Raw genomic sequence first — 15,813 nt, forward strand, 5'->3', positions numbered from 1 at the left:
AAGGGAAGCCAGGCAGGAAGCAAGGAGAGTAAATGTAGCAAAAGTCTGAGCTAGGTGGGAGCAGTTGGAAACGAACAGAGGTAACTGATACAAGAGATCTTTCTAAGGAAAAATTCATAAGACTTGAAGACAGACTGGGATTGCTTGGTTAAGTTTACTTCTTAAATAGCAGGAACTTTCATTTTAATTATACTCAGGATGTTTGTGATATAATGACACCCTGATATAATAACAAAATACTTCACTCATCTCCTCTACTAATACATAAAAATTATTTTAATAAAACTCTCTTGATTCCCTTCTTCAATATTCATTCATTCAACAAATATTTACTGAGCCTTTACTATGTACCCCAGACTATGTACTGATACAGTGATGGTTCCTGCCTTCATAGAGCTTGCATTCTAGTTAAGAAGACAGGAATAAGCAAGAAAACAAAAGAATAAATATTGTTAGATTGTAATACGTGATAAGAACATAAAATAATTAGTATTTATGATAAATTCTCCAAGAGAAACAAATAAGCCCTCTGGCTAAAAGAAAATTATGGGGGCCGGGCATGGTGGCTCACGCATGTAATCCCAGCACTTTGGGAGGCCAAGGTAAGATCACTTGAGGCCAGGAGTTCAAAACCAGCCTAGGCAACATAGCAAGACCCCATTTCTACACAAAGTTTTTTAAAAATAGTCACGTATGGTGGGACATGCCTATAGTCCCAGCTACTTGGGAGGCTAAGGCAGGAGGATTGCTTGAGCCCAGGAATTTGAGGCTGCAGTGAGCTATGATTGCCTCTCCAGCCTGTGCAACAGAACAAGACCATGTCTCTTAAAAAAAAATGATGAGCAGTAGGGAAACCAACTTGAAAAGCTTATCAGGGGAAGCCCCGCTAACATAGTAGCATTTACGCTGAAACAAGAAACTGGAAGGCCAGAAGAGCTGGGGCATAGACTGAGGGGGAAGTGATGTGAGATGCCTGCAGGGGTAGGTAGGCAGGGTCCAAATCATCTAGAGCCTTGAGCACTATGGGAGGGAGTTTTGATTTTATTCTAAATGCAATAAAGAACCACTGGAGGGTTTTGCGTAGGGGAGTGATATGGTCCTTTTATCATCAGACAGGCCCAGTTCCAGCACTGGTCATTCCAGCCTCAGTCCGGGTAGCAATAGGAGTAGTCGATAAGAAGGACCCTTTCTTTTCTAGAAAACTACCATTACTTTGTTAATTCTTATTTTATGAGCTCCTTACTCTTCTCACCCTGCTGCCCTTTCCTATGTTAGCAGGTGCTTATATCAATTCATGTAAGTTTCCTTCCCCCGATGTAATCTAAAAATAATTATCAGCTAACTTGTCTAAGATATTCAGACCTTCATCCTACACATATTCCTCATTTCAGTGGCCTACATAAAATAAAGGCCTTAAATAAAATAAAGAGGATTTCTGCTACATTTTTATATTCTATAGAATTCAAACTCAAGAGTTTCAGGGCTTGTATGAGTATAGAACTGTCACATAATCACAGAAGAATATTGGTGTGGTTCTTTGATTTTCTATAGAGATTAATTCAGTGAACAATTTTGTTTAATGCATTTGAAATTTAAATTTGGGCATACTCTAATGTATCCAGAGTTTGTTGTTGCTGTTGTTGTTGTTGTTTTGTTGTTTTTGAGACAGAGTCTCGCTCTGTTGCCCAGGCAGGAGTGCAGTGGCGCGATCTCAGCTCACTGCAATCTCTGCCTCCCAGGTTCACACCATTCTCCTGCCTCAGCCTCCCGAATAGCTGGGACTACAGGCGCCCGCTGCCATGCCCAGCTAATTTTTTGTATTTTTAGTAGAGACGGGGTTTCACCATGTTAGCCAGATTGGTCTCAATCTCCTGACCTTGTGATCTGCCCGCCTCGGCCTCCCAAAGTGCTGGGATTACAGGGGTGAGCCACGGTGCCCAGCCTGTATCCAGAGTTTTAATCCTTTCCTCCCAGATGTTGAGGAAATTATATCTCTAATTCATATTTAGTGGGGGAAGGCCTTTACATAACAGAAAGAAAGCAGGAAAGCTATTTCTATCCCATAGTAAATTTCTTCTTATATTTTAATTTTGGTGCTCTTCAGCTCCATAATCCCTTAGACTTGAAACTGGAAAAATCTTTGGCTTCTTCCGCTCCCTATCCCTCTACATCTAGTTTTTTGACAGGTCCTACATATTTCTTCACTCTTTGCTGTTTCATTGGTGTCTCCCTTGTTCAGGCCTTCATCACATTTTCTGGGACTATTATAGTGAGTAGTAGTCTTCAGGGTATCTCCAGTCTGTCTTCCCTCTCCAGTGAGCCAAGCCTAGTATTAGGTCCACTTCAGTGGGTCATCACTGCCTGTCACTCAAAGGAAATATAAACCAAGTACTCAGCCTGACATTCAGACTGTCCTGGCAGAAATAGCCAATTTTATATATTTATATATTTTTTGATTTTTAAAATCATTCTGTAATAGCTACAACAGTTAAAATTTGTAACTACATATACTTTGTTTTCATTTTCTAAAAATGTATACACAGTAAAAGTGGGAGAGAGATAGCCAGGACATATATGCTTGTGTGTTTCAATTGATGTAGTTTAATTAGTTGTTGGATTTGGCAGTAGTTATATTCACCCATGCATGACAGAATAATTTGTGATTGTGATAAAATATTTGCTTATTTTGTCTTTGGGTAAAATAACAACCAATTCATTTTGCAGCTTTTTAAAAAATAGCTAATATTCCTATTGAAAAATTTTTTTAAAAAAATTATAATTAAAGATATAATTAATCCTATCATACCTTCACTATTTTTGTTTTGGAGTATTGTTAGCTTCCATCTGCATATACTGTAAATTGTAATCATAATATATATTGTTTTTTATTCTACTGTTTTACTAAATTTTATTTCATAAATACTTCCACATTTCCATGATTCTGGAAAGTATTCCTTTCTATTTTAATGTCTGTGTAATTTTTGGTAGATACACCATAGTTTACTAAATCACCTTTACTAACACCATACATGCTGCAAAAAATGTGAGTGTGTGTATGTATGTATGTGTTAGTGTGTGTGTGTTTGCACTTTTCTTATGAATCATTTCCTTAGAATAAGTTCCCAGAACAGGATTTTAAGGTCAAATTGGCATTTGCAAAATGTCGGTTCTCTAAAAGTTGGACACATTTACAGTGCTACCAGTAACTGAAGAAACTAATATTTTTTCAAAAGATGGTTTTGAATATGATTACATGCCAAAAAACCGTATTTTTTTCTAATGGTAGATATAGTTTGCTTTAATTTGTATTTATTTGGTTATGTCAAAGATAAACATTTTTAAATGTTTGCTTTCTAAATTGTTTTGTGAATTATCTGGGTTTTTAAAATATGACATTAAAACTAAATCATTGTTTTCAAATGTGTAATATATATCTGCTAAGATGAAATAATTATCTGTCTTTGGTTTAAGAAGATGTTTTATGGTTATTTCAAGAAATCCATTTAATGAAACTTAAATGGAGCATTTTCTGATTAACTGTCAGAACTGAATGAATAAAATTGAAAAGATTTCTTATGGTAAATTTCAAACTAATTCCGGAAATTATTTTTGAAACTATGTATTTTTCAAAATCTATTGAAAAAATAAGAATAATGATGGGAGACTCACAATTAACTAGTACATAATAACAACTAAATCAGCGTAACACTGATGCAGTAGTAGACTTACAGATAAGTGGAACAAACTAGATAACTTAAAAACAAACCCAATATGAATAAGATAAAGTAAGCATTACAAATTGGTGATAATTTAAATTGTCACTGGTAAAATTTGTTAACCCTTTGGGGGAAAAAAAAAAGTTAGATCCCTACTCTATACCAGACTCAAAAAAGCACTAGAAAAAAAATGTTAATGTTTTTATACTCTTGGATTAAGAGGGAACTTTCAAAGAACAACACTAAAGGCAGAACCCATAAAGAAAAAGACTGACAAGTTTGGCGACATAAACTGTTTCAACTTTCACAAATTAAAATAGAAGGAAGAGGCCAGGTTTGGTGGCTCACACAGTAATCCCAGCACTTTGGGAGGCCAAGGCAGGTGGATCACTTAAGGTCAGGAGTTCGAGACCAGCCTGGCCAACATGGTGAAACCCTATCTCTACTAAAAATACAAAAATTAGCCTGGTGTCGTTGCACACGCCTGTAGTCCCAGCTACTCAGGAGGCTGAGGCAGGAGAATCACTTGAACCTGGGAGGCAGAGATTGCAGTGAGCCAAGATTGCGCCACTGCACTCCAGCCAGGGGCGACAAAGCAGGATTCCATCTCAAAAAAAGAAAAATATTATTTCTAAAAGGAAGAAAGAAAAATTTTAAAGGCAAAGAACTGAGAAAATTATTTGCAAAAAGTAACTATGAAAGGCAAAAGATTAATGTCCTCAGGGTTAAAAATGTTCTCACAAATTCAGTAAGACAAACGCAGGCATTCCAATAGAAATGTGAGTAAAAGCCATGAACAGGCAATTCACAAAAGAATTCAGATAGCCAATACACATGTTTTTAAAAAATCACCTTTCACACACATAAATTACTTTTCATACTCAAAATATACATTAAACACAATGAGATGCCATTCTTAACTAGATTAACAAAGATAAAGAATAATAATACTACCCCGTGATGATGAGACTGAGAGGGATATGGTCATTTTCACGCAACCAGGATAATCTTTCTGGAGAGCAATTTGGTAAGGTGTATCAAAAACACAACCCATTGACCCAGAAATTTCACTTCTAGCATTTTGTTTCAAGAAAAATAAGGCAGGTGTGCCAAGGTGAATATACAGTGATGTGTATTGTACCACTGCTTGTAGTACCGCTTTTCGTGAGAGGAACTAGAGCATAGTAGATAAGATTCAGATTGGTAAAAGACCTTAGGCAAATAACTTAATCTCTTTTTGCCTCTGTTTTATCTATAAAATGAAAGTAGTAATAACTATCATCAGACTGTTGTGCCAGTTAGCATGCTTAGAAATAGTTTCTGGCATATAGTAAAGGCTATTTCATTGTTAGCTGTGATTATAACAGTGGAAAACCAAAATAATCTAAACATACAACAATAAGATATTGGTTAAATAACTTATGATTTAGTTATATAATGGAAGAGTCTACACATATTAAAAATGATAATATAGATTTATGTTTTATCATGTAGAGAGATGTTCACATTACATTGCTAGGTGAAAAAAGTAAATGATGAAACAGTATATATAGTATGATCCCATTTTTGTTTTTAAAATAAGTATATATGGTACAGGCAAAACTCAGAATACATGCTAATAGCATTTCTCTCTAGCTAATGGAAACACAGTTACTATTTTATCTACTATCCCTCAGTTTTCTATAGTGAAAATATATTGAATAAGAATATAGTAAAAGCCAAATAGAGGAAACAGTTGGGCAGTTTCTCAGAAAAGTGAACCTAAGAGTTTCCATATGAATCAGACATTTCACTCCTAGATATATAGCCAAGAGGATTGAAAACATATGTTCACATAAAAGTTGTACATGAATGTTCATAGCAGCATTAATCAGCCAAAAAGTGGAAGCAGCCCAAATGTTTATTAACTGATAAACAAAATATGGTATATCCATACAATGGAATATTATTCAGCAATAAAGTAATGAATAATATTAAGCCAAGTAAAAGAAGTCAGAAGTAAAAGGCCACATACTCTATGATTCTGTTTATATGAAATGTCCAGAATAGGCAAACCTTTACAGGCAAAGTAGATTACTGATTGCCAGGGACTGGGAGGAGTGAGGATTGGGAATGACAGCTAATAGATACAGGATTTCTTTGGGGGTGATGAAGGTATTCGGGAATAGATAGCGGTGATGGTTGCAGAACTTAGTGAATATACTAAAAACCACTGAATTGTATATTTTAAAAGAGTGAATTTTATGGTTTGTGAATTACATCAGTAAAATAGTGTTTAAGTAAAATAGAATCTATTAGCTATGAGACACTAGATTTTAAAAGGATTTTTGGCAAACTAAAGTTTATTTTTCATCAAATTCTAATAATTATAGGTATGGATTTTAAAAGAGTAGTTTTTTTGTTCTACCAAAAAGACATATGCATGCGTATGTTCATTAAAATACTAGTGACAGTAACAAAGACATGGAATCTCCCTAGGTGCCCATCAGTGGTGGATAGGATAAAGAAAATGTGGTGCATATGCACCATGGAATACTATATAGCCATAAAAAAGAATGGAATCATGTCCTTTGCAGGATCATGGATGCAGCTAAAGGTCATTATCCTAAGTGAATTAACACAGGAAGGAACAAAAAACCAAATTCTACATGTCCTCACTTATAAGTGGGAGCTAAACAATGAGTACTCATGGCTCATTGACGTAAAGATGGTAACAGTAGACACTGGGGACTGCTAGAAGGGGGAAGAAGATGGGGCAAGGGTCAAAAAACTATTAGGTACTATGCTTAGTACCTGAGGGACAGAATCATTCATACCCCAAACCTCAGCATCACACACTATACCCAGATAACAAATCTGTACGTGTGCCCTCTTGAATCTAAAATAAAAGTTGAAATTATTAATAAATACAAGAGTAAATTTTGTTACAGAAATGTGAATCAGGGAATTATAAGTGACCCTGTAGCTTTATCTCCACAGCTTCCCCTAACCCCCCACAACCCCACTTTAGTTAATGAAAACTTTGGGCATTTTGTTTCTGTTGTCAGAATTTGGCTTTATATTTTAAATTATTTGCACTACTTTTGGAAATTTTAGCCTTTTTTAAATGCTCAGTTATTCTAGTGGCTTTCAGGCAGTTTTAAATGAGAGTGCACACATGTATGTGTGCGTGTGTCTGTGTTTTCTCAAGTAAGCCACCATCTCTGTATCCCACCTTGTGGTGTGTAAGTGGTTCAAGTATGTTCTAGAGTAACGTATGAAGTATAAATTATCTCATTTTCCCCTTTGTGATTTCTCTTTCTCCTCTTTCCATCTCTTTCCCACTCCTGGCCTTTCTTGTGCTCCAAAATATTTGAAAAATGGAGTTAGAGTGTAATACCTTATTTTTAATTAATTCTTTCCTTAAGCATTTTTTGAGCACCTAGTATATATCAAGGCACTGTGCTAAGGTTAAAGAAACAAAAATGAAATACCTGGTTTCAGACAGATAAAGTGATACGTCTTAGAGCTGCTCTGGGAACAGTTCAGGAAGCCGTTTAACCCAGATATGGACCATCAGGCAGGACTTCCTTTTACCATCAATATAATTAGTAGATCTTCTTTTAAAGCACGTCACATCAATTCTGCATTTTTAGAAAACTGTTGACAGTATAGTTTATTCTTGGCCCTTAGCACACCCCATAATTATATAAGCACAGAAAAAAATCTTGAGAAAAACTGTGTGGATCTATCCCCAAGAGAGATGTATAAGCCAAAAATTATTTTTTAATTGGCATCAATAGTAAGCAGTACAGGCACAGAGACACTGGGTGAAGGCCTGCTTTCTGCTCGACTGCTTAGAATGTTTAAGATCTTTTAAACCATCAGAGCTTTTAATGGCCTTGCTTCCCCTAATAATAATACCTACTAGATTTTAAAAAATACTAGCATGAACTTAAAGGAATTACTATTCTCATTGGTGTTTTTAAAGAAACAAACAAGCCTCTCTATACTGCTTTCTTCAGGACTGATTTTCAACTGATACGTACTGGTATAGCCATATTGGTTGTGAAATATTGAAATATGTTACTGGTTAGTAAAGAGCTGCTACGGTAAGCTGTCTAGATGCCCCGCCACAGCCTGGCCTTTCCAACAGGAACTTCACTCCTGCACCTCTCCACAATCCAACAATTAAAAGGTTATCCCGTGGCGTAGCAGGAGGCCTTTAGGTCCCTTCTTCACTAGGCTTGCATCCGTAGTGATTGCTGGTGCTTGGGCCATCCCTTCCCTGTAATAATTTTGAATATCATCCCGACTTTCGGACTGATCAAGTAAATCATTAATGTTTTATCAGTGTTTGTGTTCTGCAATTTACAGTATCAATTAGCTCTAGCTCGCCTGTGTTGCTTATCTGTATAGAATCAACATTCGCAGTTGCATTATTTCTGAATAAGCCTAGGATGCCATCATATGATAACTCAAGTCCCTAAACCACACTGCATTTTTTCTCTCTTTGTTTCTCTCAATGTTGACAGTTTGACCTAAGTTCTGCATTCTCTTGTTCCTTTCAGTTCGCTTTGCACCTTATAGGCCTCCAGATATCTCCTTGAAGCCTCTGCTCTTTGAAGTGCCCAGCATCACTACAGAGTCAGTGTTTGTTGGCCGAGATTGGGTTTTCCACGAAATAGATGCTCAACTTCAAAGTTCAAATGCCAGCGTGAACCAAGGAGTAGTGATTGTGGGAAACATTGGATTCGGCAAAACTGCCATCATCTCCAGACTGGTGGCCCTCAGCTGCCATGGTACAAGGATGAGACAGATCGCCTCAGACAGCCCACATGCCTCCCCCAAACGTACGTATTCCTTTTTAAAGAACTCCCTGTTTCATTGGCGCTGAAGTTTTTCTGACATATTTATATTAGGTCGTATATCCTTTTATTTTCTCATCTGCAAAACCTGACTTCCACGTGAGGACTATTCATTTAGGTTGAGAGAAAGATTGTAATACTCTATTTACATCTAACCCACATACCCAGTAGTCACCTAAGCGTGACTGAAGAAAAACCTTTCTCGTGGAATAAGTTTATGACTCCTCCGTGCCGGCTGTGTGGTTGGACTGTCCTCTAGATAACGACCGCAGCAATTGCCCGTAGAGCAATTTGCATTCATCACTGTTGGATTTTGCTCAGTCTGTGCCCAGTTCTTCTTCTTATTTGCCAGCACAGTCTGTTTGCATCCTTCATCTCTTTGCTGTTGGCGTCAGTGTTGCACTGCTTGGACTTGAGCTTCGTTGTGTCCTTGAAGGGGTTCTCTCCTGCTTCCTTGTGAAAAGGTGCTGAGCTCTCATATGTATTCAGGCTTCTTTCATCACAACCAGGGGGCAGCCCAGTAATCACTACCAGGATCTTACTGATTTATTTTTAAAACACTCATATGGTACTTACTATGTGCCAGATACTCTCTTAACTTTTTTACAAATATTAATTCATCACATCCTGTTACCAGCTCAATGAGGTTGTCTTCATTTCACAGGTAAGTAATCTGAGGCCCAGAGAGGTTAAGTAAGTTCTGCTAGGTTTTACAGCCAATAAATGGGAGAACTAAGCAGTCTGGTTTCAGAGGCCATTCTCCTATCCATTTTACTATGCTGCCTCTCCTTACTGGTGAAACTCACTTGAGTAAAGAAAATAAATAGAAATGTATCAGTATTCTTCTTATACATACTACATGTATAGAACCAGTTTACCTGGTTTCTGTTAGTTAGAAGAGAACAAAAAAAGAAACTATTGCTTTGTTAGTCCAAATCAATAATCTAGCCCACCACAGACTTTCAGACTGCAACCACTAGAAATGGTTTGTGTGAGATAATAGTAGTTACAGGGTCTAGCACAGTGCTGGAAACTTAACAGGAACTCAGTGAAGACCCTCCAAACTTATTGACTTCCTATTGAAGCTAGTTAGCAGCCTTGTATCATTAAGGAGGCAGATGGCCTCTGATAAACTTATGGATGTCTAACGTGGAAGAACTGGTGTCTTGGAAGAAAACTGAATCAAAATACCTCTTTACCAGGGTATGGTAAGAATTGGTATGGAAGAATTCTTTTCTTCAGAGGAATATAATGCTTAGTTTCTAAATGAAGCTCTTCTGAGGTAGATTGCCATAGTACTGTGGGAGTCAGGAGCCCAGGGTTTGTGCCCCAACACTCAAATTGACTAGACTTTGTGAACTTGAGAATTTTACTTGAATTTTTTAGAGCTCAGTTTTCTTATTTGTAAAATGAAGAAGTGTGACTAATTGATCTTTCAGAATTGTCTCTGCTAAAATTTTGATTCTGAGAACACATCTTCATGGTTAAAAGTAACTTTCCACACTATTCCAGTGTTTTCCTTTGAGTGTTTAAGTATTTATCACTCCAAACTGCTGTTTATCTGAGTAGTTCAAGTGGCTTGCAATTTGAGTGTGTCAGAAAGGAAGCCAGAAAGCTCAAGCTCTCTGTGACTCCTCTGTATATCAGAGTTGCAGATAACAGAGTGGTAGAATCATGCATGACAGAAAATAAATCCCAAGGACGAGAAGAGTTGCTTTCACAGAAAGCAGAGGTACCTGGGGATCTCTCTATGAGCCTGGGGGAGCAAAAGTTTATAGAAAACAGCCCATGTACTCCCCAAAGCAGAGATTCTTTAAAGGTAGTTCACTAAGTTATTCTCTAACATCCATTGCCTTCAGGAGAATCTCCAGAAACACCAAGACACTCCCCATTCATGAGATAAACATCCGTTGTTGAGACTGTAGATTTGGTCTGACAGTTAACTTTCCGAATTTGAAAGGAGTTAAGAGAGCTAAATATGCGGTTCTATATATCAGAATTACTCAGAACCAATGTTACCTTATACAAAATAATTTTTGTTACAATTTATTGATGGCCAAACTATATTCTACCAGTGCCATCTTAACCAATAGAAGGGTCAAGAATAAGTGACTGATATAATGCAAGCTATTTTTTGGCACAAATCTGTTACCTATATGAACTGGTGTTGAATATGTTACTGGCAGGAGCAGCAGTTTTTTCACTAATAGTAAGAATGATGTCTGTATATGGAGGGTTGGCTTAATTTTTTACAGAATATAAGTTATTAATATAAGTTATTATATTAAACTTAATATAAGTTATTATATATAAACTTAATATGAGTTATCATATTAAGCTTGGATGGGTCATTTGGAACCTCACTGGCTTTCTTAATCCTTGGGTGATGATACTAATTAATAGTTGTAGTGATAATAAAAAAACATGGGAAATCACTGGAGTTCCCAACTTCTTTCTCTGCATCATCTGTCATTCTTTCTTCTGCCCCTGTCTTCTTTCTGTTTGGTGTTCAGAGAATAGTAGAAATAAAAGCTGAGCACCACTGCTGTGGAAGATAGGAGCAGTTTAGCCTGCAGTACTGCCTTGCTTGGCTGTCCTTCCCCCACAGAAACTCAGCCCCCCAGCCCGCCCCCCTCCTTGTCATTTCCCTGGAAAGGTATAGAAAAGCTGTCAAGGCAGGCACTAGCCTGTCATCCTGCTTTCCACCTACTCTCCCAAACCTGACACCCCCATCAGTCTCCACCACCACCACCACCATTATCCACACCCCCAACACACACACACACAAAGAACAAAAATATTTTGTGAAAACAGACCTGTTGTATAATTCAGGATTATTACATTAACTACAGGTATTCTCAGTATAGTAGTTGGGGAAGCTCTAATACAAGACTGTATGTTTCTATCACTAAAAGTCTCAATGTAGTTATTATTTGGATTTGACATTTGCCAACAGCTGCCAAGCCCCCAAACAGCTGTTAAGTAAATAAATCCTACGTTCCTACTCTGTTCATTTCAGAAGTCTCTTTTGCCAGTGTGCTATGCACATTGACTATTGCCTACCTATTAACTTTTATTTCTACTATTGTCTGAATACCAAACAGAAAGTAAGGTGTTTAGACAAAAAGGAGGGCATTTCCAAAAGGAAATAGCTAGAAAGACAGAGGGCATTTGGACAGTAATTACCCACAAAATCAAATACCAGATAAAGGGGAATAGAGTAGGGGAAGGAAGTGAACAGCAGAAATAATGCAGAAATAATACAGTAACATACAATCACTGAACTTCACCTCAACCCAAATGTCACACAGTCCTTGAGGCTTCTTTCACTGCCATCCTCCATGCCCACCCCCCTGCAGTTATCCAGAACTGTATCCAGTGACCAAGAAATTTACTGCACCAGTTAAATGAAAGAAGTCTAAATTCACTCCTACTGGTAAGGAGTTAAATGAGGACTACTTTTTCCTATTCTTCCTTCTTTTCAATCACTATTGGCCATCAAATAACAACTTCTAATATTTACTTTGGTATCTATTTTTAAAGTATGATCTTATTCATAAATATAGCCTATAATTTCTACTAGTAACAATAAATGTTCTAAATAAGAACAAATTGAATTTTTAAAAAAATCTTAAAACAGTTTTATTGAGCTGTAACTCACATACTATGTAATTCACCCATTTAAAGCGTTCAACTCAGTATTTTTAGTATAATTCACAGAGTTGTATAGCAATCACCATAATGTAACTTTAGGCCATTTTCATCCCCTTAAAAGAAGCTCATGCCTGTTAGCAGTCAATCCCCATTCTCCTCTTAACCCTCTATTTCCAGCCCTAGGTAACCACTAATTTACTTTCTGTCTCTACAGATGTTTCTGTTCTGGGCATTTCACATAAATAGAATCATACAATATATGGTCCTTTTTTTTACTGACCTCTTGGATTTAGCATAACATTTTCAAGGGTTTATCCCCGTTCTAGCATGTATCGGTATCTCATTTCTTTTTATTGTTAGTAGTCTATTGAATGGATATTTTGTATTTCATCTATTCATCAGTTGGTGGGCATTTAGGTTGTTTCCACTTTTGGCTATTATGAATCGTTCTTCTGTGAACACTTGTGTACAAGTTTTTGGGTGGACATGTGTTTTTATTTCTCTTAAGTATATACTTAGGAGCAGAATTGTTAGATCATAGAACAAATGGAATTTAGCCATTTTTCCTTAAAGTTTTTATGATTATCTGATGCAAACATCTAAATCTTTTTAATCCAGATGTGGATGCCAACAGAGAGCTGCCACTCACACAGCCACCTTCAGCCCACTCATCTATCACCAGTGGAAGCTGCCCAGGAACTCCGGAAATGCGCAGGCGGCAGGAGGAGGCTATGCGAAGACTAGCCTCGCAGGTACAATATGATTCCCACGTTGGGGATATGGTAGTTCCATTTTAATATCAAGGAAGCAAAGATAGGGAGACCTTTGGCAAAGTGAACAAAAATACGTAAAGCTATACCATGAGAACGTGGAGGAAAGTTTCTCTTTCTTTGATATTCCTAGAAAAATACTTTATTGTGATGGGATCAGAACCTTAGAGTTGGAAAGACCCTTAGAAAAAACGTCTTCTAGTGAATAAATAAAGAAGTTGAGACCGAAGTGGGTTAGTTGGTTGGTTTGTTTTGAGACGGAGTTTCTCTCGGTTTCCTGGGCTAGAGTGCAGTGGTGCAATCTCAGCTCACTGCAGCCTCCACTTCCCAGGTTCAAGTGATTCTTGTTCCTCAGCTTCCTGAGTAGCTGTAGCTGGGACTACAGGTGCGTGCCACCACACCAGACTAATTTTTGTATTTTTAGTAGAGACGGGGTTTTGCCATGTTGGCCGGGCTTCTCTCAAACCCCTTATCTCAGGTGATCCACCCGCCTCAGCCTCCCAGAGTGCTGGGATTACAGGCGTGAGCCACTGCACCCAACCGGAAGTGGTATGTTTTACCCAACATCAGGGTATAAGTAATCAACAGTTTTAAATTTTCATTCCTAGCTTAAAACTCTTCGTGCTATACTACCCTGTCCATAATATTTTTTATACATTTGAGTTTGAAATTTCTATTTTTTTCAAAATAACATAAACACATAGAAAATCAAAGAATGCTCAAAACCAGCAGTGCTCTTCCTCTACCCCACCCATCTTCTCTCCACAGGCAGCCACTTTTACCTCTTAAGGAAGTTTCTCTGATTTTCACCTCCATATTTCTAAATACTATTCGTATACTGCTAAAATTTTTATTAGTTTACAAATTATCTATTGCTTCTTATTATGGATGATGGGAATTATAGTTGTTTCACCTTCCTTCTTCCTACCACCATCCCAATACAATTATTGCATGATTTTTGGCTGAATCCATATTATATATAGTATTTTCAGTATTAATACTGTGCAAATACATCACTCTGGCGCCAAGGATAACATTTCCTTCTTGAACGATTTTGTTTTTCCTAGGGGTTTATGAAATGCCTCATTTTAAAATTTGCTTATTTTTCTTCAAATCTTTGGCTAAGTCATTTCATAACCCTTAATGTAGTTTTGTAAAATTTCTGTCAGTACAGTTTTCCACACTTACAAGTTACATTTTTTACCCTGGAGGCCTCCGTCCTAGAGCCCTCCATCGAGCTCAGTCTGGACCTAGGACACTCTGAAGGCTTACCACCTTGTTCTCCTGGGAGTTCCTGTCCCTCCTCTTTTGTGTTTCATCTCATGTCATATTCTTTCTCGATTTTATTCTTCATTTTGGTGGAGCATATCTTCCAGTAGCTTCCTAACAAAAAATGCATAGGACATAAATTTTTTGATACTTACTGTTTCTAAAAGCATCATTATTCTATGCTTATACTTGCTTATTTGTTTGACACAGTATATCATTCTAGGGTAAAAATTATTTTTTCTCAATTTTGAAGGCATTGCTCCATTGTCTTGAGCTTCCAATATTGCTACTAAATACTCTGATACTATTCTTATTCCTAATCCTTTATATATACCTTGTTTTCTCTCCAAATGCTTTTAGAATCCTTTTTATCACCATTGTTCTTGAGTCTTTTTCATTTATTCTGTTGGTACCTAGCAAGCCCTGGAAATATTCTTTAATTCTGAGTAATGCTTTTGTATTATGTATGATGATTTCCTCACCACCATTTCCTCTATTTTCTCTTTCTACAACTCGTATTAATAAAAAATTAGATTTCTGGCTGGGCGCAGTGGCTCATGCCTATAATCCCAGCACTTTGGGAAGCCAAGGTGGGTGGATCATCTGAGGTCAGGAGTTTGAGACCAGCCTGACCAACATGGCAAAGCCCCATCTCCAAAAAAATACAAAAATTAGCCAGGTGTGGTAGCATGTGCCTGTAGTCCCAGCTACTCAGGAAGCTGAGGTAGGAGAATCCCTTGAACCCAGGAGGTGGAGGTTGCAGCTAGCCAAGATTGCGCCACTGCACTTTAGCCTGGGCAACAGAGTGAGACTCCATCTCAAAAAAAAAAAAATTAAATTTCCTATACTGGTATGATACTCTCATTTTCTTAACTTTTCTGTTTTCTATACTTTTGTTTTTTGGTTTTTTAATCCACCTTTGAGAGATTTCTTCAACATTACTTTCCAATCCTTTTACAAAAAATTTATTTTTGCTCTCATAGTTTTAATGTGTAACAGTTCTTCCTTTTCTCCAGCTGTCTCCTTCTTTTTATAGCATCCTGTTCTTGTTTTATGGACGCAATGTATTCTTTACTTAGGCACTGAAAAAACTGATTAGAAGCTTGTGTGTGTAGAGAGCTTGACCATAGAACATTAAGATGATCCGCCCTTTTTTTGAAATGCCCAAAAGTCAGTATTCCTAAGTTTTTTTCCTGGGCTGTTCAAATTCTCTAGCAAAGAATCCTCCAGTCTTCTGACTGGAGAGTATATGTCTTGGGTGCCAGCATTTTGGAGCTGGGCAGGAAAAGAGGGCTGGAGCTTCACTGTTCACTATCAGACATTTATTTAAGCCCCTTGTTTTCAGTCCTGCACCTGATCTCTACCTTGCTCAATGTGTGGTGTCCCTAAGTCTAGATTCTCTCTTGTTTAATTTCTCTAGTTCTCTTTCCTGTGGGTGTTGGGGAAGGTAGTCACCTGGCTGGGCAGGGCAGGGATGGGAATCTGGGGATCTAACTTCTTACATAAACTTCATATAAATTCTGTGTTTTCAGGTCCCTTCACCCTTCTCTTCCACAG

General features: G+C 37.4%; 1 protein-coding gene across 21 annotated transcripts in view; it reads left to right on the forward strand.

Moving 5' to 3' along the window:
- TANC2 (tetratricopeptide repeat, ankyrin repeat and coiled-coil containing 2) overlaps positions 1-15,813 on the forward strand; it is a 461,469-nt gene that overhangs the window by 339,887 nt on the left and 105,769 nt on the right. For all 21 annotated transcript variants that reach the window (XM_011524597.3, NM_001394998.1, XM_006721810.4 and 18 more), the window contains 2 exons: positions 8,267-8,548; positions 12,836-12,969. In XM_011524597.3, the coding sequence (XP_011522899.1) occupies positions 8,267-8,548; positions 12,836-12,969 (416 nt within the window). The remainder of the gene's footprint in view (positions 1-8,266; positions 8,549-12,835; positions 12,970-15,813) is intronic.

This window comes from Homo sapiens, chromosome 17 (genome assembly GCF_000001405.40).
Source record: "Homo sapiens chromosome 17, GRCh38.p14 Primary Assembly".
NCBI classification, from domain to species: Eukaryota; Metazoa; Chordata; class Mammalia; order Primates; family Hominidae; genus Homo; species Homo sapiens.